General features: G+C 37.6%; 2 protein-coding genes across 21 annotated transcripts in view, besides 6 other annotated features; both read right to left on the reverse strand.

Annotated features, from left to right (window-relative positions):
* Positions 1 to 8,595, reverse strand: part of PHTF1 (putative homeodomain transcription factor 1) — a 63,058-nt gene extending 54,463 nt beyond the window's left edge. For 9 of the 19 annotated variants that reach the window (NR_136565.2, NR_136567.2, NR_136568.2 and 6 more), the window contains exons 1-3: positions 7,730 to 8,193; positions 7,366 to 7,440; positions 6,406 to 6,462 (exon numbers count right to left, since the gene is read on the reverse strand). Coding sequence is in view for 9 of the 19 variants with exons in the window: in NM_001323043.2 (NP_001309972.1) it covers positions 6,406 to 6,462; positions 7,366 to 7,410 (102 nt within the window). In the remaining 10 variants the exon portion in view is untranslated. Of the gene's footprint in view, positions 1 to 6,405; positions 6,463 to 7,365; positions 8,194 to 8,478 lie in introns of those variants that run through there. The other 10 variants (NR_136566.2, NR_136564.2, NM_001323041.2 and 7 more) reach the window with 3 other exon arrangements.
* Positions 1,167 to 1,368: a silencer, noted in NCBI's record as "fragment chr1:114295082-114295283 (GRCh37/hg19 assembly coordinates)". NCBI's record gives its function as "represses an EF-1alpha promoter that drives an FKBP-Casp9 reporter gene in an ReSE screen in K562 erythroleukemia cells {active_cell/tissue: K562}" and the evidence as "EXISTENCE:reporter gene assay evidence [ECO:0000049][PMID:32094911]".
* Positions 2,197 to 2,246: a silencer, noted in NCBI's record as "silent region_1213". NCBI's record gives its function as "represses an Ori minimal core promoter by ATAC-STARR-seq in GM12878 lymphoblastoid cells {active_cell/tissue: GM12878}" and the evidence as "EXISTENCE:reporter gene assay evidence [ECO:0000049][PMID:35858748]".
* Positions 5,232 to 5,787: an enhancer, noted in NCBI's record as "H3K4me1 hESC enhancer chr1:114299147-114299702 (GRCh37/hg19 assembly coordinates)". NCBI's record gives its function as "activates a minimal SCP1, AML or CMV promoter by ChIP-STARR-seq in primed H9 embryonic stem cells {active_cell/tissue: H9 hESC(primed)}" and the evidence as "EXISTENCE:reporter gene assay evidence [ECO:0000049][PMID:30033119]".
* Positions 6,833 to 6,962: a silencer, noted in NCBI's record as "silent region_1214". NCBI's record gives its function as "represses an Ori minimal core promoter by ATAC-STARR-seq in GM12878 lymphoblastoid cells {active_cell/tissue: GM12878}" and the evidence as "EXISTENCE:reporter gene assay evidence [ECO:0000049][PMID:35858748]".
* Positions 7,596 to 7,915: a silencer, noted in NCBI's record as "silent region_1215". NCBI's record gives its function as "represses an Ori minimal core promoter by ATAC-STARR-seq in GM12878 lymphoblastoid cells {active_cell/tissue: GM12878}" and the evidence as "EXISTENCE:reporter gene assay evidence [ECO:0000049][PMID:35858748]".
* Positions 8,066 to 8,645: an enhancer, noted in NCBI's record as "H3K27ac hESC enhancer chr1:114301981-114302560 (GRCh37/hg19 assembly coordinates)". NCBI's record gives its function as "activates a minimal SCP1, AML or CMV promoter by ChIP-STARR-seq in naive H9 embryonic stem cells {active_cell/tissue: H9 hESC(naive)}" and the evidence as "EXISTENCE:reporter gene assay evidence [ECO:0000049][PMID:30033119]".
* RSBN1 (round spermatid basic protein 1) overlaps positions 10,539 to 22,443 on the reverse strand; it is a 50,645-nt gene continuing 38,740 nt past the window's right edge. For both annotated transcript variants that reach the window (NR_130896.2, NM_018364.5), the window contains 3 exons: positions 16,929 to 17,096; positions 15,806 to 15,914; positions 10,539 to 15,160 (listed from right to left, as the gene is read on the reverse strand). Coding sequence is in view for 1 of the 2 variants with exons in the window: in NM_018364.5 (NP_060834.2) it covers positions 14,687 to 15,160; positions 15,806 to 15,914; positions 16,929 to 17,096 (751 nt within the window). In the remaining variant the exon portion in view is untranslated. The remainder of the gene's footprint in view (positions 15,161 to 15,805; positions 15,915 to 16,928; positions 17,097 to 22,443) is intronic.

The raw sequence follows: 22,443 nt of genomic DNA on the forward strand, positions 1-22,443 counted from the left end.
TTTTAGTAAATTTGTAGAGTTGTGCAATCATTATCACACTCAAGTTTTAGAACATTTCCATCACCTCAAAAAGTTCCTTTCTGCCTGTTTGCAGGAAAGCCCTGTTCCCCTCAATCCATAGGCAACTTTTGATCTGTTTTCTATTTCTATAGATTTCTAGAAATTTCATATAAACAATCACACAATATGTTGTACTTAGCATGACATTTTTTATGTTCATCCATGATGCAGTATGTATTAACAGTTTTTATTGCTGAATTGTATTTCATTGTATGACTATAACACATTTGTTTATACCAATTGATTCACCAGTTGATGGACACGTGGGTTTTTCCTACTTCTGGCTATTAAGAATAGTGCTGCTATGAACATTTGCATGTATTTATGTTTTCACTTCTCTTGGATAGAAAATGTTAAATATAGTAGATACCCTAAATATAGGTAGATACCCTAGGAGTGGAAATGTTGGGTCATGTGAGAAGTACATATTTAACATTTTTAAAACCACCAAACTATTTTCCATTTTCCATGCCCAACAGCAGTGTAGAAGAGTAGAAGAGTTGTAGTTCCTCCATCACCTTGCCAACATTTGGTATTGTCAATCTTTTTAATTTTGTTCTAACAGATGTATTATAAATGTAGTAATGTAAATCTTCCAACACTATTCTTTTTAAATTTGTTTTGAATATTCTACATCCTTTGTATTACATACATATATTTGAGAATTAGCTCATCAATCTCTACCAAAAACAAACTTCTGCTGGAATTTTGAAGGGATTACATTGAATATATAGATACATTTGGAGAAAACTGACATTTTAACAATATTGAATCTTCCAGATCATGAACATGAAATGCTATTCCATTTATTTAGACCTTCTTTAATTTCTCTAAGCAATGTTTTATAGTTTTCCATGTATGAATCTTACACTTTTTATGTCATTCCTAAGTGTTTTATTCTTTGTTGCTATTATAAAATTGTTTTCTTAATTTTATTTTTGAATTATTCATTGTTGGTATATAGAAATACAACTGATTTTTGTGTACTGATCTTGTATTTGAAGACCTTGCCACATTCATTTGTTACTGTAATTTTTTTTTTTTTTTTTTTTTTTTTTTTTTTTGAGACGGAGTCTCGTTCTGTCGTCCAGGCTGGAGTGCAGTGGCGCGATCTTGGCTCACTGCAAGCTCTGCCTCCCCGGGTTCACGCCATTCTCCTGTCTCAGCCTCCCCAGTAGCCTGCAACCACGCCTGGCTAATTTTTGTATTTTTAGTAGAGATGGGGTTTCACCATGTTAGCCAGGATGGTCTCGATCTCCTGACCTCGTGATCCACCCGCCTTGGCCTCCCAAAGTGCTGGGATTACAGGCGTGAGCCACTGCGCCCAGCCTACTGTCATTTTTTATATATATTCTTAGGATTTTCTAAATATGGGATTATGCTGTCATGAGTAAAGGCAGTTTTCATATTCCTTTCCATCTCAATGCCTTTCATCTCTTTTCCTTTGCTTATTACATTGGCTGGGACTCCCAGTACAATGTTAAATAAAAATAGTAAGAGCAGATATCCCTGCTTTGTTCCTGATTTTAGGGGAAAACATTCAGTCTTAACCACTAAGTGTGAAGTTTGTTGCAGGCTTTTCCTAGACAACCTTTACTATGTTGAAGAAGTTCCCCTAAGAACCTAGTTTATTATTAATAGGCATTGAATTTTGTTAAATGCTCTTTCTGTATTTACTGAGAAGATCATATGATTGTCCTTTATCCTATTAATATGGCATATTACATTACTTTGTTTTCAAATTAATGCATTCCCAGGATAACTCCCACTTGGTCATAGTAGATAAGCCATTTTATGTGTTGTAGAATTGGTTTTGTTAATATCTTGTTAAAGATTTTCACACATACATTCATAACGAATGTTCTTATGATGTCTTTGTCTGGTTTAGGTTTCAGGGTAATACTAGTCTCATAGAATGAGCTGAGAAGTATATTTCCTTCTCTATTTTCTGAAAAAGTTTGTGTAGAATTAGTGTATTTGTTCTTGACCTAATTAACTGCTACTCATGCTTCAGATCTCATTTTAATCAATTCCTTAGCAAAAGCTTATCTGACCTTCTTAATTAGGTTCTTCTTTTTTTTTTTTTATTTTTGAGACGGAGTCTCGCTTTTGTTGCCCAGGCTGGAGTGCAATGCATGATCTCAGCTCACTGCAACCTCTGCCTCCCACACTCAAACGATTCTCCTGCCTCAGCCCCCTGAGTAGGTGGGACTACAGGTGCGTGTCACCATGCCCAGCTAATTTTTGTATTTTTAGCAGAGAAGGGGTTTCACCATGTTGCCCAGGCTAGTCTTGAACTCCTGAGCTCATGCAATCTGCCTGCCTCGGCCTCCCTGCTAGGATTACAGGCATCAGCCACCGTGCCCAGCCTTTTTTTTTTTTTTAAAGGCAGGGTCTCTGTCATCTTGACCTCCAGGCTTAAGCAATCCTCTCACCTCAGTCTCCTGAGTAGCTGGGACCACAGGCAGATGCCATCATGGCCAGCTAACTTATTTTTTGTAGAGACAGAGTCTCCCTATGTTGCCCGGGCTAGTGTCAAATCCCTGGCCTCAAACGATCCTCCCACTTTGGCCTCCCAAAGTGCTAGGATTACAGGCATGAGCCACCATGCCCAGCAACTAGGCTCATTTATTTCCCTTATTATAAGTATAGTAGCTTGTAAACAGACCTCTTCTCAGTATTTGCCACTAAGTAATTTGCATTTATTAGAAGGATTCTTTTTATTATTCTCAACCACTTTGTCATAAATTCCATGAAAATAAAAATATTGAATATGGCTGGGCAGAGCGTCTCATGCCTATAATCTCGGCACTTTGAGAGGACAAGGTGGAAGCACTGCTTGAGCTCAGGAATTCGAGACCAGCCTGGACAACATGGCAAGACCTTGTCTCTACAAAAAATTTAAAAATTATCCAAACCTGTTGGTGCATGCCTGTGGTCCCAGTTACTCAGGAGGCTAAGGTGGGAGAATCACTTGAGCCCAGGAGATTGAGGCTGCAGTGAGCTGTGTTCATGCCACTGCACTCCAACTTGGGCAACAGGGCCAGACCCTGTCTCAAAAAAAAAAAAAATGATTGAATGTTTTTACTTACCATTATGTAGGCATAGCTAGTGTCTGCCACATTGTAGGTAAGCAGTCAACAAATATTTGTTAAATAAATACGTAATGGATGCTTTCATTTTATTTTTGGTATTTCTTTCCCTGTTTTACTTTGGTTGATTACATTTTCTTTCTCTAGATTCTTCAATATTAATATGATTCATTGTAAACCTTCCTAGTCAAACTAGACATTTTTTGTTAATATAGACATTGAGAATAATAAGTACTACTCTGGAAATATTCCATAGATTTTATTATAATGTCTATATTTTTATTTCTATCTTTCAAAAACACAGATATGATGTGACTCCTCTACTCAAAAACCATTAAAACCTTTCAATTTTCTACAGAATAGTATCTAAAGTTCTTAGTAAAGCAGTCAAGTAACCTTCAAATAGATTTATGGCCTATCACTCTATCTATGTACCTTATTCTCCAATCATATTGGGCTACTTACTTGCTCTTCCTCTAAACAAGTCTTATACTTCTGTTTGTTAATATTTTTCTCTTGTGCTCAGCACCCAACAAAATGCCTTAAACATTGTAGTTCAATAAATGCTTATTGAAGAGTTCATACCATTTTTCATGACCCAAGTTAAGATTTTTAAAATTTATCTTTCATAATTCTGAATTATACTTTTAAATATATAATTTTAAATTATATAACAGTACTGTGATATGATGTTAATATTTTTATTTTAAAATTTTTTTTGCTTATTTGTTCTTTTATTTTTTGTTTTTATTTTTTGTTTTCAAAAAATTGTATTTGTGTTCATGTATTTTTAAATTTAGCATTAATTTTTTTGTATGCTATACTTTGGTCATTTTTTAAGACTTAAGCATATTAAAAAGATATCTGGGCTTTTCTCCCATCACTATCAGACTGTGAAACCCATGAAGGCAACAATCACATCTATCTTTTTCACTGTATTCTCAGCACCTAGTACAAGAGTGGCACATTAGCTGAGTAATTTTTTTTTCAGCTTTCTACTATCACACTGAAAGCTCAGTAAATGTTTATAGTTATTTTACATTTCATTCTTCCCACCGCCGCTAAATTTAAAAGCATACATTAAGGCGTGGTTAGGTAGATTACCCTATGAGAGAACGAGTAAAAAATATGCATGATGGATAGGGTTCAATTAACTATAGCAACAGACAGAGTTCCTAGTATGAATCAAGATGTTCTAAGAGTAGGAAACAAACACACTTCCTACCCTTAGGCCTATGAACACACATAGGTTAACAAATAACTTTGATATCATGCACTAAAAGGAAGGTATGTATTAAATGACATGGAAAAGAGTGAAGGAAATCAGGCAGGGCGCGGTGGCTCATGCCTCATGCCTATAATCCCAGCACTTTGGGAGGCTGAGGCAGGTGGATCACGAGGTCAGGAGATCGAGACCATCCTGGCTAACATGGTGAAACCCCGTCTCTACTAAAAAAAAAAAGTACAAAAAATTAGCTGGGCATGGTGGCGGGCCCCTGTAGTCCCAACTACTCGGGAGGCTGAGGCAGGAGAATGGTGTGAACCCAGGAGGCGGAGCTGGCAGTGAGCCGAGATCGCTCCACTGCACTCCAACCAGGGTGACAGAGCGAGACTCTGTCTCAAAAAAAAAAAAAAAAAGGGTGAAGGAAATCTTTAAATTGGCTAGGGGAAGAAGGTTAGATAACAAGGCTAGAGATCACAAAACAAGATCAAACTCCACTTCTATGCTGTTTCCATTACACCATACTTACTATCAGTGATGTTTAGCAGCTCACAAAAAAATAACAGGACAGGCTTTAGAGAATCACAAAATAAAATCTGGAGACTTATTCATCCTAACCCCATCTCCCACTAATATAAATAATCAAGGACTATACCAAATTGTGAAAAGTTAGTCGGCTACTTGTTGTTCAAGTAGCTTTCTATTGATTGGCCTATTTAACAGAACAGATAATATTAAGTTGTATTCACCCAGTTTTTTTAAGTATTAATGAAGGGTCTGCTGCAATACTTTTTGAAAGGTAATGCAAAAACAAGAATCAGCTGGCATTTATCAGCACTTTGCAAGGAAGTGAGGCCCTGAATCCATAAGATTTAAGTAAGTATTAAAGTCGCAGAGAGTTATATTCTTTTGAGGGCCAAGGATGGTTCTTTAGGCTTTTCCACATCTCAAGACTATCCAATTACATTTGGTTACCAAGCAACCATTCCATGATGAATTTGTACCAGCATCCCCAAATGGCTTAACCCCACAACTCTGACTTTGGAATATCAGAAGATAATTTAACCCTCTCCTCCCCTATTATAAGTTAATAAACTGGCATTCTGAATTATATAACAGTTTTTGGTCACTTGGTTAGTATAAAATAAGAATCCTCTCAGTTCTAAGAGCTGTGTAGAAAAAAGTTTAAGAACCTGAAAAACTTAAAACCATACTCTAGGCCGGGCGCGGTGGCTCACGCCTGTAATCCCAGCACTTTGGGAGTCGGAGGTGAGCAGATCACAAGGTCAGGAGATCGAGACCATCCTGGCTAACACAGTGAAACCCCGTCTCTACTAAAAATACAAAAAATTAGCCGGGCGTGGTGGTGGGCGCCTGTAGTCCCAGCTACTCTGGAGGTTGAGGCAGGAAAATGGCGTGAACCCAGGAGGCGGAGCTTGCAGTGGGCCAAGATCACGCCACTGCACTCCAGCCTGGACGACAGAGTGAGACTCTGTCTCAAAAACAAAACAAAACAAAAAAACAAACAAAAACACATACTCTAAGCCAGTGATTGAATAAAATGGGGGACCATAGGCTGGATTCAGGCCACAAATGGATTTTATTTGGCTTGCAAAGGAGGAGGAGGAAGAGAAGGAAGAGTCTCTTAAAAATCCGACACAAAATGCACAATATATTTCATATAAAAATGTGTATTTCCAGCTTCTCTTGAAAAATCTGAAACTCTGGCAATATTTGGACCTGCACTGCCAAGTGGTAAAAACTAGCCAGAGCTAAGTAACCCCAGCCCTATTTATATGGGACATTTGCTCTCTAATTCATCATAGAACAACTCACTCCTTTCTGTTTTCCTGATAGTGAGGCCAAAAATCAAGTGTCACTTCTCATTATGCTTGCACTGCTTTTCTTATAACCTTCAAAGATTAAAGAATGCCATACTGGTAGTTAAATGCAGAGTTTACCAGGTAAGTACAATTCCACTCTTCATATTAATGCAGTGAAACATAGGCGGAATCAAAGAAATCAATTTACCTTAATCTGAGTCTGTTCGATTGACTTTTCCCATATCTGCTGATCGTAGGCTCCAATCTGAAAGAGGGAGTAGTCTATTAGTTAAACGATGCAAAGGAAATCCTTACATTATTAAGTCAAGCCTCATAAAAGTCATGAGCCTATTAAGTATCAATATGCTATGTGGAAAATATGCTTCTCAAAAGTTAGAATAAATCAATACTTCGAAGGACTGTTTCCTTCAAAAATCTAAAATAGCTGGACCTAAAAGTAAGTTCAAAAGCAATGCCCAAAATATTTCAAATTAATATTACCTTAAAAGATATTTCCACTTCTTGGGCGGGCATGGTGGCTCACGCCTGTAGTTTGAGACCAGCCTGACCAACATGGTGAAACCCCGTCCCTACTAAAAATACAAAAAATTAGCCGGGCGTGGTGGTGGGCGCCTGTGATCCCAGCTACTCCAGAGGCTGAGCCCGGGAGGCGGAGCTTGCAGTGAGCCGAGGTCGCGCCATCGCCCTCCAGCCTGGGCAACAAGAGCGAAACTCCGTCTCAAAAAAAAAAAAAAAAAAAAAAAATCCACTTCTTAAGGAAAAGAGCACTAGAAAAACTAGAGAGGAATAAAAGATAAGGAACAGCTCAATAAGATTGTTGATAGTATCAATCTGAGCTGTGCACATACAGGTTTCATGTCTTTTTTGTTTTTAAGCAGTTTGATCAGAAGCAAACTTTCAAAGCATTGCGGTGGCATTGTGTATGCAGCCTGAAGGAGGTGGCTTGTAAACCTTATTCTGGGACCTGGAACCGGGTTTAAAAGACATAATGACCTTGTACATCTTTTTTTTTTTTTTTTCATTTATGTTGAAGTATACATGAACACCTGGCACTACTAAACTCGGGGGAAAGTAACATTATATTATTTGTGGGAGCTTTTTGCAGGAAGAATGCTTTACAAATAAAAAAAATATATATATGTATTACCTTCTTTTGGTACCACGATATAGCATCTCTCTCATTTGAGGCCATCTGTGTCTCCAGCCAGAGAATGGGATTTCACTGAAAATGAAGGAAAACCAATCGGTGAGTCCAGCTGCTGAAGGTTACTCTCCCAGTTTGGGTAGGACGCGAAAACCGCTTCTCTCAGCCTCTCCATGAGCTGCTCTTTCTCCAGCTGTTTGCCAGGGAAAACACAACAAACAAACAAAAAAAAACTGGCGCAGCGGCGACCGGAGAAGCCTCTGCAATATATCGGGCGAGCGTGTTCGTGGGTGCGGGGGAGGGGCAGGGGCCGCCGCTGGAGTCGCCCGGCACCCGCCTCCTTCGCTCGCCCGCGTCCGGCTCTCACCTAGTGCCCGTTGCCCCGCGGGCCGGCGCCCGGGACCTCCGTCCTCAGTGCCCGGGGTCCCACCGTGAGGCCGGGGGCGAGGCGGCGGGCCAGGCAGGCCGCATCTTCCCCTCCAGGCGGAGACGCCGGAGAGGCCGTTACCATGGAGACCGCGGAGGCCGCCCCAGCTTCGGAGGCAGCCGGCCGCCCAGCGCCCTGAGGGCGGCAAATCGATCGCCGGTCAGAGGCCGCCTACAGGGTCACGGACTGACCAGAAAATAAGCAGAGAATGAACTGGAAAATGAGGGGGATTAAAAGTGAAGGCCTCCAGTCGCCACGGCGACAGCAAAAGGCTTTGTGCCCAGCTGGAAAAGACAGGTGCAAAGGCCCCGGACCCCGAGAGCCCGGGAGCCCGGGAGGAGGAGGCGGCGGCAGCGGCGCTCGTCTTCTGCGGGCCGCGCCGGGATGCAGTGACTCAGCCGTCTGAGATCTGGGCTAGAGCCGCTCAGCCGACCACCGGGCAGCAGCCTTCGGCTTCCGCTTTCCGGCTTTCGCCGCCGAGGTGGCTCCGCCCCTGGCCCGGGGCCTTCCCGCCCAGCCTTGGTCCAGGCTCCGGGTCCGAGGGCCTGGGGAGTCGCGCGGCATATCGATGGCCAAGAGCAGCTCCCTCAGATCACCCTTCAGGCCTCAGCTTAAAAGTCACTTCCTCACAAACGACTCTCCCATCCAGCGGTCTAAAGGAGGTCGGTCCTGATACTCTAGTAGCTCACGTCTTTGTGGCACTCATTTTCGTGTTTCATGGCTTAATCTCTGTTCCCCAGTGGGCTGTGGGCTCCATGAGGTCAGAGACTGGGGCCTGGCACAAGCCTGGCACTTAGGTTCCCAATGTTTGTTGAGCGAACGAATCAATGTTTGCGTGAATTTACGCTGCCCTGGGAGGAAGGGCCAGGCTGCGGCTTAGTGACTCCCTTCCTCTCCCGCCCCTCAGCAGCTCTGGGTCTGGAGCTTTCTAGTGCTCAAAGGTGTAGGGGGAAAAGAGGAACAAGTATTGGGCAGTCACAGCTTTTTCCAAATTAGGGTAAAGTTAGGTGGCGGCAGGAACAGGTTAATTAGGGCCGATAGAGGTCAGGAGAAAGGAAAGAAAGGTTGAACCCTCAAGTGAATATTTAAGGATACGTTAAAAGGATTTTTAGGCTGCTTTTTTTTTTTTTTTTTTTTTGGCCATTAATGGAACACTGTCCCCTTACAGCCATTCTCCCCACCTTATTTGAAGCCGTGTTCTTGCTAGCCCACAGCGTGTAGCATCTGGGTCAGAGAAAGCTAATGACAGATGATAGCTTCACTTAAGAAAGCCTAAGAGGCGCTGTACTCAATGTTTTGCAGACATTATTTCTTCTTATCTATTGAGTGGGCACCAGGTGGAAGTTATCCCATTTCACGGATGAGGAAAATCGACTAAGCTAAAATAACTCCCACAGGACTAAGTTTTACAAATTACTTCACCCAGCCTGGGCGCAGTGGCTCACGCCTGCAATCTGGGCGCTTTGGGAGGCCTGAGGCGGAAATGTAGCTTGAGCACAGGAGTTTGAGACCAGCCTTAGCAACATGGCCAGACCCCGTCTCTTAAAAAAAAAAAATTAGCCGGGGGTGGTGGCGCGCACCTGTAGTCCCAGCTACTTCGAAGACTGAGGCAGGAGGATCGTCTGAGTCCACGAGTTCGAGGCTGTAGTGAGCTATGATTGCACCACTGCACTTCGGCCTAGGCAACAGAGACCTGTCTCAAATAAAGTAAAAATTATTTTACCCTTATTTTTATATTGCACACATTGGCAGTGGTTTCCTTCTGCTTTTGCTCCTTGACAGCTTTTCCTTTCCTTAGTGCTAAACATTACAATTCTGTTGAGCTTCAAGACAAATGGCCAACTTGAAAAAAGAGATAAATGACAAGTGAAAAACGTCGAATTTTGCACACGTAAATATTTAACCTCAATTACATTAATAGCAAAAGTACTTTACTTCACTGTTTGGCACACAGATTTTCAGGGAGTGTCTGGAGGAACTGAATCAGGTAAGAAGTATTAGAGAATAGTGGTAAGTAGTAAACCATTTTTCAGGTGCCCTGTTGGAAACTATTCAGTGCTTCCTGCGGCTACCAGCGAACAAGGTCTGAATCCTTGCTCCCAACCAATAATCTGTGATCTTAAGCAATTTATTCAACTAACAAGCCTGTTTTCTCACCTGTATTATGGAGATAGTCACCTTCTTAAGGATGTGAGGATTAAATGAGAAACCCTCATATAAACTGCCTGGCCCATGGCAGTTACTCAAAAAATGTGAAGTCCCTTTCTTTTCCTTTCCTAGACAGAACCAAAGGCTATCAGTGCTTAGGACAGGTACCTCAATTAAAGATAACTTCACACAAAAACTGATGAGGAAAGAAATCCATTTTGTTGTGTCACATTAATACATCAATGACATAAAAGTCTATACGCCATCTTCATTAATACTCAATGCACTTTCAAGAAAATCCACATCACCAGAATAAAAATTTAAGACTGTCCTCTTTTAAGTAGATACACACCAATTTAAGCAATTAAGAGGCATTAACTACAACAAATGTCAAGTGTATTTTTTCTTCTTCCCCCAAACTAATTGCATCTCAATATGGATGGAATTTTCCCCAGACATCTTTAGGAAAGAAGTCATAAGATTTTCTAAAAATTTTTTTTGAAGTAGTAGGGGATACAGTAGGTGAGGGATTCGTCCTCTAAAAACAGGTTCCAGGTATTTAGAACTCACATATGCTATGCATTTTGTGATGAAACACCAGTAAAGGACAAATCAGACTTTTTTTATTAAAAAAATACTTTACAGGAAAAAAAAAAACTATGCATTCCATTGTCCTATTTTACAAAGAAATAGCTTAACAATTTAACACACTTAGACAGCTACAAAAAAGCACTGTGTTAAAAGGATTATTCACACAAATTTAGATTTAAGACTATTCATTAAAAACCTTTTTAAAACACTCGTTAATGTCAATAAACAAACTAAGGCCACACAACGCAAATAGTCCGCCAGGCAAATATACATTTCATCTATATGCAAAGACCTCTTAGATAAATAAAAGCCACAGGAAAAAAAGTCTTAGCTGCCAATCAAAATGGAGTTTACTCACAGAAAACACTATTACATGAAAATTTACAACATGTGATAGTAGTACATAAGTATTTCTTTAGAGAGAATTGAAAAGTGCTATATTTTAAGAGACAGTGGTCTCAACTACATGCACAAGTGGATCCTAAAAAATGTATGAAGAAAATGGAAGGCCATAATATTTATGGAGAGATACTTGCTTTTAAAGCAACAAACTTTCAAGACAAGGATAGGTCCCTTACGTGCTAAAGAAAAACATTTGTACTGTGCATTTCCTCTACTTGCATGGCCAATAAATACAGCTACGACCTGTTTGAAAAACAAAACAGATGTGAACCTCTGGCATGTGCTAGCTAGTGAAAGGTTCTTTTTTAAAAACCTGTAGCAATGATAAAACAGATTAGAAAGATACAAAATTATCCTAAAGGCATAAATGCAAATAAATTTTTTATGGCAAATACAGATGAAAATATAATGGGCTAATTTATTAATGATTAAGAATATATTCACTAAGCGTTTTCATGGATTTGGGAGTCTTGTTCCTATATTAGCTTTCATTCTAGACAATTAATATTTATATAGGGAAAGGCAATAAGCAAGTTTTTTCCAGTCATTAAGTGTGACTTTTATGCCTAGTAAGACTGATGCAAGACATCTTTTCCTAAAGTTTAGTAAACAACTTTAATAAGCTCCTTTTTCCCCCTACAAGAGCTTGTAATATTAGTCAACTGGTATTCCAACTGTCTCTTAAGGGGAAAGGGCACTTTTCAAAAGTCTTTCACTAAAAAATAATAAAAGTACCAGTTAAACAAATTCTAAGTACTGAATAAGCAAATTAAAGGTACAATTAAACCTAGGAACCAATTTTTAGAGTTAAAACTTTGGAGGAGAGAACATACTATATAGGTTTTTATTATTATTGCTTTATGAATTTGGGTTACCACTTTGAATCATCATCCTACTCCTAGCATATCTTGGTATAGAGAATTACTTCTGGGGCAAGAGGAAGACTTTTATGCTTTTTAATGAATACCATGAAATTATTCTACTTTACTAAGTTAGGAATATTCATTTATTGGGTCCTTTCCATAAGCACATTTAAAAACCATCCCTCTGCTCCACAAAATATTAAAACTTATAGCCACATTGTGCAAGTAATCTCAAGAGCTGGCACAACGGATAATATACCAAAAAGGAAGATCAGCTTAAATTTCAGTTACAACTTCACTGCCATCACTACTTTAACAAATCAGAAGACGCCAGATTGCTCCATGCCTCACTCCACCAAACCAAATAATTTAATGATTTAGAAAAATTGCAATCATTTGTATCACTAAACTAGGATACAGCTTTGAAAGCAGTAAAAAACGCAAAACTTCTGCTTTTATACTCATCAGTCTTTAAAGCATGCTATTAAAATCTAATACTCACATAGGACATTCAGTTTTCAGATCACGTTACTAGCTAAATGTTTCTCTTCATTCTATTGCAATTCTAACATACAATGAATTTATTAGTACATGATTTTAAACATTTTTATTGTACTCTTTTAATGTGTTTATATTGGAGGTGAGGGTAGAATGTTTTATAAAAGGAAAATGGGGATTTGCTTTTGATTGTAGGTCTTTGCAGATCCGCTGGTTCCTGAGTGATAATACACAGTGCTGGCTGTCAGGAGACAGTCTCCTTGTTTATTAGCAATGACCAGCTTGGATGACAGATGGCATCTGCTGGATGGCAAGTGGGAGATGGGGAAATCGGATCTTGGAAGACAAGAAAAAATTAAAAAAAAAAAATTTTTGCTTTAACAGCCTTCTCTTCATGATTATTTTTAAAAGCAAATGTTGCCTGAGAAGAATTTTACTTTGCACAGCCTGGTAAAGCTCTTCTGGACAGAAAAATAAAAACAAGAAATAACCCAAACCCACACACTTTGTGATTAAACCCCTCCCCAACAAAATAACAAAAAACACCCTCAAAGGCAGGTCCCGTTAAAAACTAGTCTGGATAAACTGGAATTTACCCTAGAATTTATACCCAAGATTTAAAAACACCCCTGCAATAATCACATTACCTTTCATACCATTCTAATTACCTTATTTACAAAGATAACTAAAGCCAACATCACTTCCAATTCATAAATGGTTTACATTGAAATGTATCCCTATTTGTCTTCATCCTTTGTAACAGAGAATACATACATATACATATATATAAGGAATAATACAGATTCTAACTAATCACTGCAGTATTTGCTGATGGTTACTTTTCTATCGGTTTACACAGTGACCTCTATACTTTGCTAATATGCATTTAACTACACAACAATATTGCACAAAGTAATATTTATATAAGATTTAACCTATTTCAGAATATTTTAGAGAAAATTCATATTTGATATTTCAAAAGATGCAGCTAAGTTTTCATGGTGACAGACATAATAAAGCAGCATCTTGTATTTTTTTTTTTTTTTGCCTATGTTAATGTAAATATTTCAAATCTTACCATCCAGGAAAAAAAAAAAATCTCCAAATTGCACTGTAACCAGGGAGATATAAGAATCTGGTCTTAGGTGTGGGGAGTACTCTTCCATTAATAAACAAAAGGCCTACTGTATTATTAACTAAGAGAAAGTATAATGTGAATCATGTTAACATTCTAAAATAACAGAAAGTTAGGACCATACTAGCAATGTGAACTGTGCCTGTTTGAAAAGAAAATTTAAATACTCAGGCACTAAGCATTAGCCTACCTGAAACTCTAGGATGAAGTCTAGTGCTGTATTCTTTCTTAGAAAATAGCAACACAGAGTAATAGTAAATAAACCCAGGTATTCACCAGTTAAAACTGTGAATTGAAGTGTCTCAGTAGTAGATATTTATCATGAAGAGGTTGATGCCAAGTGACAAGAATAGTTTATCATAAGATTGATGCTCAAAATATGGCAGCCTCATCAGAAAGACTATTATTATTCTCTAAGTTTAATAGTTGTGATCAGTTTAGGAAGCAAAATTATCCCCACAAAATGTGAGGATGCCAGGAAGCAGAACAATAGAGTATCATGTCAACATTATCTCTTTTACCCAAAATATCTTCAACAGTTAGCATATATTCTAGAAGAGATTAATGAGCCATGGATAATGAATGACCAAGGACTATTCATCTTTAGATTTTTTTTTTAATTGAAATATCCACTGGGCTTTAAATAACAGATACAAAAAAAAGACAGTTTGGATCAGAAAGTGCTGTGCTTTCTCTTTTGTTAAGAAACCAGAGAGCCACTGAAATTTCCTTGGAAACTACTTGTTATTTGTGGTTAGAACTAAATAACTTACTTGCCCATGTACCAGATGCAGAAATTCTTTCCTGCAACCTATGCCATTTTCACTGTAGAAATTGAACCTGTGCCATAAAGACACAAGTACTAAACCATAAATCTTATTTATCCATAAAAACAGCAAATATGGCAAGAGACAAGGCAAGATAAAATTAAGGGAAGTGAATAATTTACCAAACAAGAATCTGTTATTCCAGAGAATTCTCATTTTGATTTGAAGAAGAGATTGAATTGTTACCTCACACCTTAAAACAGAAAGTAGCAGCAGACCCACTATTACATACTGTACTAACGGGATAAGATACAACTCTTAACTTTGCATAATCTGTGTAAAAAAGATATGCTTGACATTTGTGGAATGTCATTTCTCTTTATAGAATTATAGGCAAGATTTCTCCAATAAAACTTAACTTAAGCCAGTTATAAAACTATAACTTCACATCAAAATTTAAAAAAGTTAAAAAATGTGTTTGAATATGTACATATCACACAGAAGTGGTTGAATGTTCTTGCAGATTGTGTTGCTGGTCAGAGTCCAGTCTACTTTCCACTTTTAAAACTGGAATAGGCTGAGTCTTCTGATCTTGCTGTAGATTAAGTTCTGATGCAGGTGGGAAAGATGATGAAGCAGTTGTTAACAGCTGAATCTCTGTGCATGCTTCTTCAGATTCAGTTTTTATCCTCACACATTGGGAGTCAACTTCTAATTCTCGCTTTCCAGTTAAACCACAGTCCATGTTAGAATTGCTTTCTGTGTTTTGAGTGGCTTCCACAACAGGGTGGTACTGTTTAAGCCTTATATGCCAGGCTAAGCTGCACACCGCCGAAACTGTTTTGAACTGATGAATGACATTTCTAGGGATGAAGTAGATATCATTGTCGCAAAGCTGAATTCTAGCATAACGAATGCCTTCCCGCCTCATTTGGTTTAGTTTAGCTTCATCTACCCACTGTACGCACTGAAGAAAGAAAAAAGTTACGTGAGACTTTAAAATATGTAATAATTTAGTCAAGTGAAATAATTAGCAAAGGAAAACAGTAGAAACAAAATGTGTCATAACAATAATCAAATTAAAATTAAGCAACACTAAATGATAGGTAACTCTCTAAAAATTCTTGTAATGCCTGGGAAATTATTTTCCTCCTATTTTACTACCTCTTTAGTAACAAAGTACAGGTTAAAATCAGAATGGCTTAGAGAATCATTTAAGTATTTCAAAGTACAGCTAAGTATCAATATTCTTTACCACACATAAAGGCAACATGTTTTCTTTTCTTTTAGTGTGTCTTTCAGCCTTTTGCAGTTGAGGGGACACAGTGCAATGGGGTTAACAAGTGAGACAGCTCATGGCCATAACTGAGCCGCCTGGGACCTCTAACCATCCCAGGCCCACCTGGTATCCCAAAGATTGAAAGGATTTCAAGCATTCTGCTAGGGAAGCTCTGTTTAAATGATTTTCAGCACCACCCCCACCCCAGTCTTTAACAGTAATAAAATTAAACTCACTATCCCACATATCAGACTGTAAGATAAAATTCAAAATAAAATGGGTATAGATATTTACTTCTAATATCGCAAATGGTGATAAAACATAAGTTATTACCTGGGAAACTGGAGGTTCATGAAGATCTAACTGAAGTCTTTGTACAACATCAGTAAAATCCTCAGCATGAAAACAAATCACATCTTTGGTTATGCGAGGTTGGTCACTCCTAAGATTAACAAAATTAAGTTTCAGAGACAAACATCTCACAATGAAAAATGATGACAAATTTCAGTTCTTTTGTTCTTGGAAATGCTTCTACCAGCAGAGAAATAGATGCATAGTTTCTAAGGACTAGGTATACAATTTTTTTTTAATTTGAAAAAAACTAAAGCTTAAAAAGCCATAAAAATCAGATTTGCTGTTGTAAAATTAAAACAAAAATGGCTAAAAAGAATAGTTTTATTCTAAACTAGTTGCATTTGCAGTCCTCTCGCCACTTTGTATCTCCATGTCCTGAGCTTTGTTAAAACTGGGCCCCAACAGAATATAAAATGGTTTAGCCACTGTGGACAACAGTCTGGTAGTTTCTCAAAACATTACAAATAGAACTACCATATAATCCAGCAACTTCACTCCTGGGTGTATAGCCAAAATAATTGAATGCAGGGACATGAAGAGATATTTATACACCCATGTTCACACCAGCATTATTCACAAAAGCCAAAAGGTAGAAGCAACCCAAGTGTCCACTGATGGATAAACTGATTAACAACATGTGGTATATACATACAATGAATTATTATTCAGCCTAAAAAGGGAAGGAGATTCTGACCCTTGCTACAACACGGATGAATCCTGAGGACAATGCTAAGAGAAATAAGCCAGTCACAAAAAGATAAACACTATATGATTCCATCTATATGAAATATGTAAAGTAGTCAAATTCATAGAAACAAAGTAGAATGATGGTTACCAGAGCCTGGGGGTGAGAGTAAAAGAGGAATTGTTGTTCAGTGAGTATAGAGTTACAGCCTCGCAAGATGAAAAGGTTCTGGAGCTCTGTTTCGTAACAATGTAAAGATGCTTAACTCTACCAAATGTACATTTAAAAATGGTTAAGATGGCAAACTTTATGTGTATTTTACCACAATTTAAAAAACTGGTCCTAAACCTTTTAAATAGAGTCCACATTGTCTTATACAATATTAACCAACCTTGCAGTTGAGTTCAATTAACTCACCATTCACCAAATTGTACAGCTTTCAAAACTCCAACAGCAGCCGTACTCTGCCAGTCAAACCCCTGACCGACATGATCAGCATGAGCTCTAGTCCTATCTTCAAAGAGAACTTCGCGGGGTTCACTGGTCCGAGGTAGGTACTGGAGATTTTTTATTTCATTCATTGATCTAGAGTTGATTTGGTTGTTAAACAAAGGGTAAGCAAGGAAGAAAGAGACCAAAAAAAAATTAATTAATAGCAGTAAGGCAAAAAAGTCTGCTAAAATACCAGATTTAAATAAGATGAGGACTGAGAAGGGTTCAATGATTATGATCATTAGCATTTAACACACTATATTATAATGCTTAATGTAATTACCTTCCTCTCCCTGTGTGCCATAATAAAGCTGAAAATATATCTTAGATTAGGCTCAAATGTAGTGCTTCTGTTCTAGCAACAGAAAATAAAAGTCAAAGTTTAAGGCTTCTTTACCCTCATTCATCTTATTTCCAACTCTCAAAATATGCTACTAGTGAGGCTGCCCTCACACAGTTAACAAAACTCTGGATGGAAATATAGCTATAATTAAGCATTAATCAGGCTGCACTTAGACCCACTTTCTTATAACTAAAAGTCAGGTAACACTAGATACTGACCATTTGCATCCCTGTTGTTCCTACAGATAGAATTTCTTGGAAGTGGGAAAACCTTTTTGTGAAAAAAAAAATATATATATATATACTTTTTTTAAAAAAGAATTCTAGTGTTAGCATCATAAGGCTTTTGTTTAAGATAGAATCTCTGATGTTAAGAATGGCTTAAGCAGATCCTGAATTCTGGCAAAACAGCTGCTGCCAACCAATTTAAAGACCCCCACAGAAAAACCTAATCAGCATGATAATAGTTTATTCATCCCTTTGTCCATGACTTCACTTTGTACTCTCGGACCAATAAACATCTCCACACATCAGCCCATTCCAAAACCTTTAAAAACCCTCACCCCCAAACTCCTCAGGGAGACAGATTTGAGATTTCCTCCCATCTCCTCCTTTAGTGGCCCTACAATTAAACTTTCTCTGTTGCAGTCTGCTGTTTTGGTGTACTGACTTGCCATGTGCATCAGGCAATGACCCTATTATAGTTAAACTAGAGTTCTGATTCAAGATTGCAAACCAGGCATCCATGTTATCTCCTTCTACATTAAAATGAAAGTAAAAGTCTTCAAACCAATAATAGGGGAAGTGGGGATTAGATGGGAGAATGGATTAGAGTACAGATGAAACAGAATTAGCCATGAGTTGACAGCTGTTGATTGTATATTAAACACACAGCAGTTTATTATATTGTTTTCTGCTTTTTTATGTGCTCAAGAATTTCTAAATATAATAATCTAAAGATGATAGTGAATAAGAAGCAACAAAGGAAATGAATTAATGAATGAGCAATATCAACAAACTTTTGCAAGATGGAAAATGATCCTAGTACCTGAGACTAATAAAACTGTGCAGAGAAAGCCACAGGCATAGAATACACAAGAAGGGATCAGCAGCCAAAAAGGCAGCAGACCTGCCCAACAGACCTTGGAAAAGCCTGAGTCCAAAAAGAAGCCAGGCATAATAATGATGAACAGAAATGAAGTGAGGCTGAGAAAAGGGGAATTAAAGTGAAATTCTGCAAATAAACAAGTCATCCCTGCAGGTAGAAATGTAGACAGACATTTAGCCCCACATGGAGTAGACTATGGCTACCCACCCAGCATCCATTCCTCCCCTTTAATTCCCTGACAGAACCCTAATTTTTATTAGGCATCTCATTCTGCCCTGTATGTGACCTCATTCACAAGCTCCAGAGTTAATTTCTGATGAGTACTGGTAAATTATGGTAAGCTCATTTCCCCTGACAGTGACTGATTTAGGAATAGACATGAACTGATTCTGTCTAATAGTATGAAAGGAAATATGCTGAAGAGACTTCTGGGAAGTTTCCTAGCTCCTAAGAAAGAAGTACAAGAAAAGATACTATCTTCTTCTATTAGATATAGCCAAATCAAGATGTGATGTCTAGAACTGCCTCAGCCATCTAGCAACTATAAAGGGAGCTAGTGTAAGTAAATAGCCTAAGCCAAGAGAATGTTAGAACAGAGAAAAGGAAAGAATCTGGTCCCTTGATAACAGCACTGACACACTGACCATATGGTGCCTAGAACCAACCTCTCTGGACTTCTCGATATACAAGACAGACATTTTATTTTATAAACAAGTTTGAACCAAAATTTTTGTTGCTTATAGCCAAAAACATCCTGATAAACTTTCAGCCAGAAAAACTGCACATTCTCTAAACACATGGAAATTGCCACAAAAATAGAACATAATCCTCTGAAATTTGGGCACATCATTTAGTGTCCATTTCTATGCCTGTTCACTCTAAGTTGACAACTGACAATTGTCTACCTGTTGACAAGACTCACCAAAATATAAATAGAACTCACAATAGACCCAATGCTTTATTTTAACATATGAATGGGTCAACCGAGAATCACCAGCTTCTGAAGATAGCAGCCTGACAGAGAAAAACCAAAATGAACAATGCTAAAATTTTAAAACACCAAAGAAAGGTTAGAAGACAAAAGTCCAGTAAATGTCTCCGAATCAAAAGCAAAAAGATAATAGGAAATATGAGGACCATCAAACCAGGAGCTCTATTATTCAACCAATAGTAGTTTCAGAAAGAAATAAGAGAAAATGAAGAAGAAATTACCAAACCAATTAAGTAAGAAAAATTATCAGAAAGGAAAGGAGACATGAATCTTTCAATTTAAGGTGACTACTAAACAACAAAAAGTATAATTAAAAAATAAGAATGAAAGACTCAAGACATATTGTGAAATTTCAGACTGCTGATGATAGAGGATGCTATAAGCTTGCAGACAAGAAAAAAATAGGATACCTACAAAAGAATAAAAATTACACTAGCATTAGGACTTCTCATAAATAATATTAGATGCCAGAAGACAACAGAGCACTGCTAAAAACACTAAGAGACAACACAACTTCTGGACTTCAGCTAAATTATAAATCATGTTTATTAACAGAAAAAGAAATTTTCAGACATATAATAACTCAGAATACCTCCTTTTTCTTAAGACTATTCCTTGAGAATGTGTTTAAGCAAGAGAAGGAAATAAATCTAGGAAAACAACAACCATAGGTTAATGCAGAAAAGCATTAAATAGGAAGTCCTAGGTGGATAACTGAAATAAGCCTTCTATAGGCAGAACACAGAGTTCCAAAAGATATCCACATAAAAAAACTGATATGTTACAGCAGACAGTATGAAAAAAATTCTAAAAGGCATGAGGATATGATAAAAGAACAGAATGCTAGGTAACTACCAACACCAATGTCCTCTCAAAAAAAAAAAAAAAGGTTATAAAAGAAAGCCATAGTCAAACAGATGAGAAAGTCAGCGTGGTTCTGGAAGAAAGTAATGTACCTTAACTCTAACCCTATAAGCAGTAAGGAGAATGGAAGCAATAAATAAAAAGATGGGAAGCAATAAAGAGAACAGAAGATATTTAGGATGGTCAAGAAAAGTTTATGTTCCTACCTCAAAAAAAAAAAAAAAAAAAAGGAGGGTAATCAGAAACTGCAGGAAAAACAGAACACTTTTTTATGTTCCTACCTCAAAAAACAGGGCAATCAGAAACTGCAGGAAAAACAAGACTTTTTTTTAAAAGAAGTTATGGTACCAAATATAAAACTTTCAAAAAATGTGACATGGTTTTAAGTACGTAGGTGAAATATAGAAAAGAAAGATGCTTTTGCATATTCTTCCTTTGAGTGATGATATAACATTGAAACCTTAGAATATGAATTAATAACTTAATAGCTGGGTCTGCAGTAAACATAGCTAGCCATAATATTTTAGAATCCACTTATTGACAAGGCATGTAAGACCTAATGATAATTTTAAAAACAGAATATGAATTAACCCCAGCAATGTGTAGGGACAGCTGACTGAAAGAAGAAATGAGGAGGAAGAGGATAAAGTAGGGGTCATCTAACTATTCAGAGAACATGTAAGAGGACGGAATACCTGCTATCATACCAAAAAATCAAAACCTGTATAAAAACATGACATGTATATCATACATATATGCAACTATTATATACACAAGATTAAAAAAATTTTTAATTAAAAAAAAACCCTGCCAAAGCCTTTTTAAAAAAGTATTATAAACAAATGGGTTTTGCCTCTCGTAAAAATATATTTGCCTCTGGGAAGGAAAAGTGGGCAGGATTTTCCATTGTAAGTCTTGCTGTATTATTTTATTTTTAAAAAACTCTGTACACATATTTCTTTAACTCTAGAGTTCATAAATCCAAAGATGAGCTTCAGTAGCAGTGTCCTTGGTAACTGAACAGCTTCTCACATTTTTATTCCACCATTTTCCACAAGTTTTCACTAACACAAAAAGATGGACATTAGTATTTACATTTTGATTCATTCAATTCTAATTCAAAATGCTTCTGAATGCCTCACTTAAGAATATTTAATACCAACAGAAATAAAATTTGATGGCACCTCAGATGCATTATTAAATAAATGATGTTGGTACAGCTGCCTAACTACCTGGAAAAACATGTAAATCTCTTCCTCTATACTGAAGCCAATTCCAGGTGGATTAAATATGTAAATACTGAAAGCACAGAAGTACTAAGAGAAAATGTAGGTGAGTATTTTATAACACTGAATAAAAGAAGGCTCTTCTAAGCCTATTGCTAAAGGAGAAACCTCAAAGGATAGATCATATAAACAAAAACTTCTGTAAGTAAAGAAAAAAACACCGAAGCTGAAAGCCAAAAAAAGATAAAAACTTGGAACAGAAGGGAAAAAAAGCTTAATAGTCATAATATATATGGGATTTTTACAAAAGAAAAACACCAAAATAGAAACATGTATAAAGGAAATTAAAAGGAAATCACCAAAGACAAAATAAGAAACCCCTCAAAAAACAGCAAATTAAAATGAGACATTTTTGGGTTGGGCGTGGTGGCTCACGCCTGAAATCCCAGCACTTTGGCAGGCCGAAGTGGCTAGATCCCTTGAGGCCAGGTGTTTGGGACGAGCCTGGCCAATATGGCGAAACCCCTCTTTACTAAAAATACAAATATTAGCCAGTGGTGGTGGTGCACGCCAGTAATCCCAGCTACCTGGGAGGCTGAGGCATGAGATCACTTGAACCCGGGAGGCAGAGGTTGCAGTGAGCCAAGATCGCACCACTGCACTCCAGCCTGGGTGACAGAGCAAGACTCTGTCTAAAACAATTTTTTAAAATAAAATAAAATGGGACATTTTTATCCAATCAGATCAATATAGTTTAAAATGTTAGTGGAGAGTATGAGAAAAAGGGAACTGTATTATATGAGTGGGTATATAAATTGGTATATTTCTGGAAGCCCATTAGAAATGTGTATACTTTGAGACTTTAGGAATTTTTACTAAGAATATAAACACGCATGGCCACGTGCAGTG

This window comes from Homo sapiens, chromosome 1, assembly GCF_000001405.40.
Source record: "Homo sapiens chromosome 1, GRCh38.p14 Primary Assembly".
NCBI classification, from domain to species: domain Eukaryota; kingdom Metazoa; phylum Chordata; class Mammalia; order Primates; family Hominidae; genus Homo; species Homo sapiens.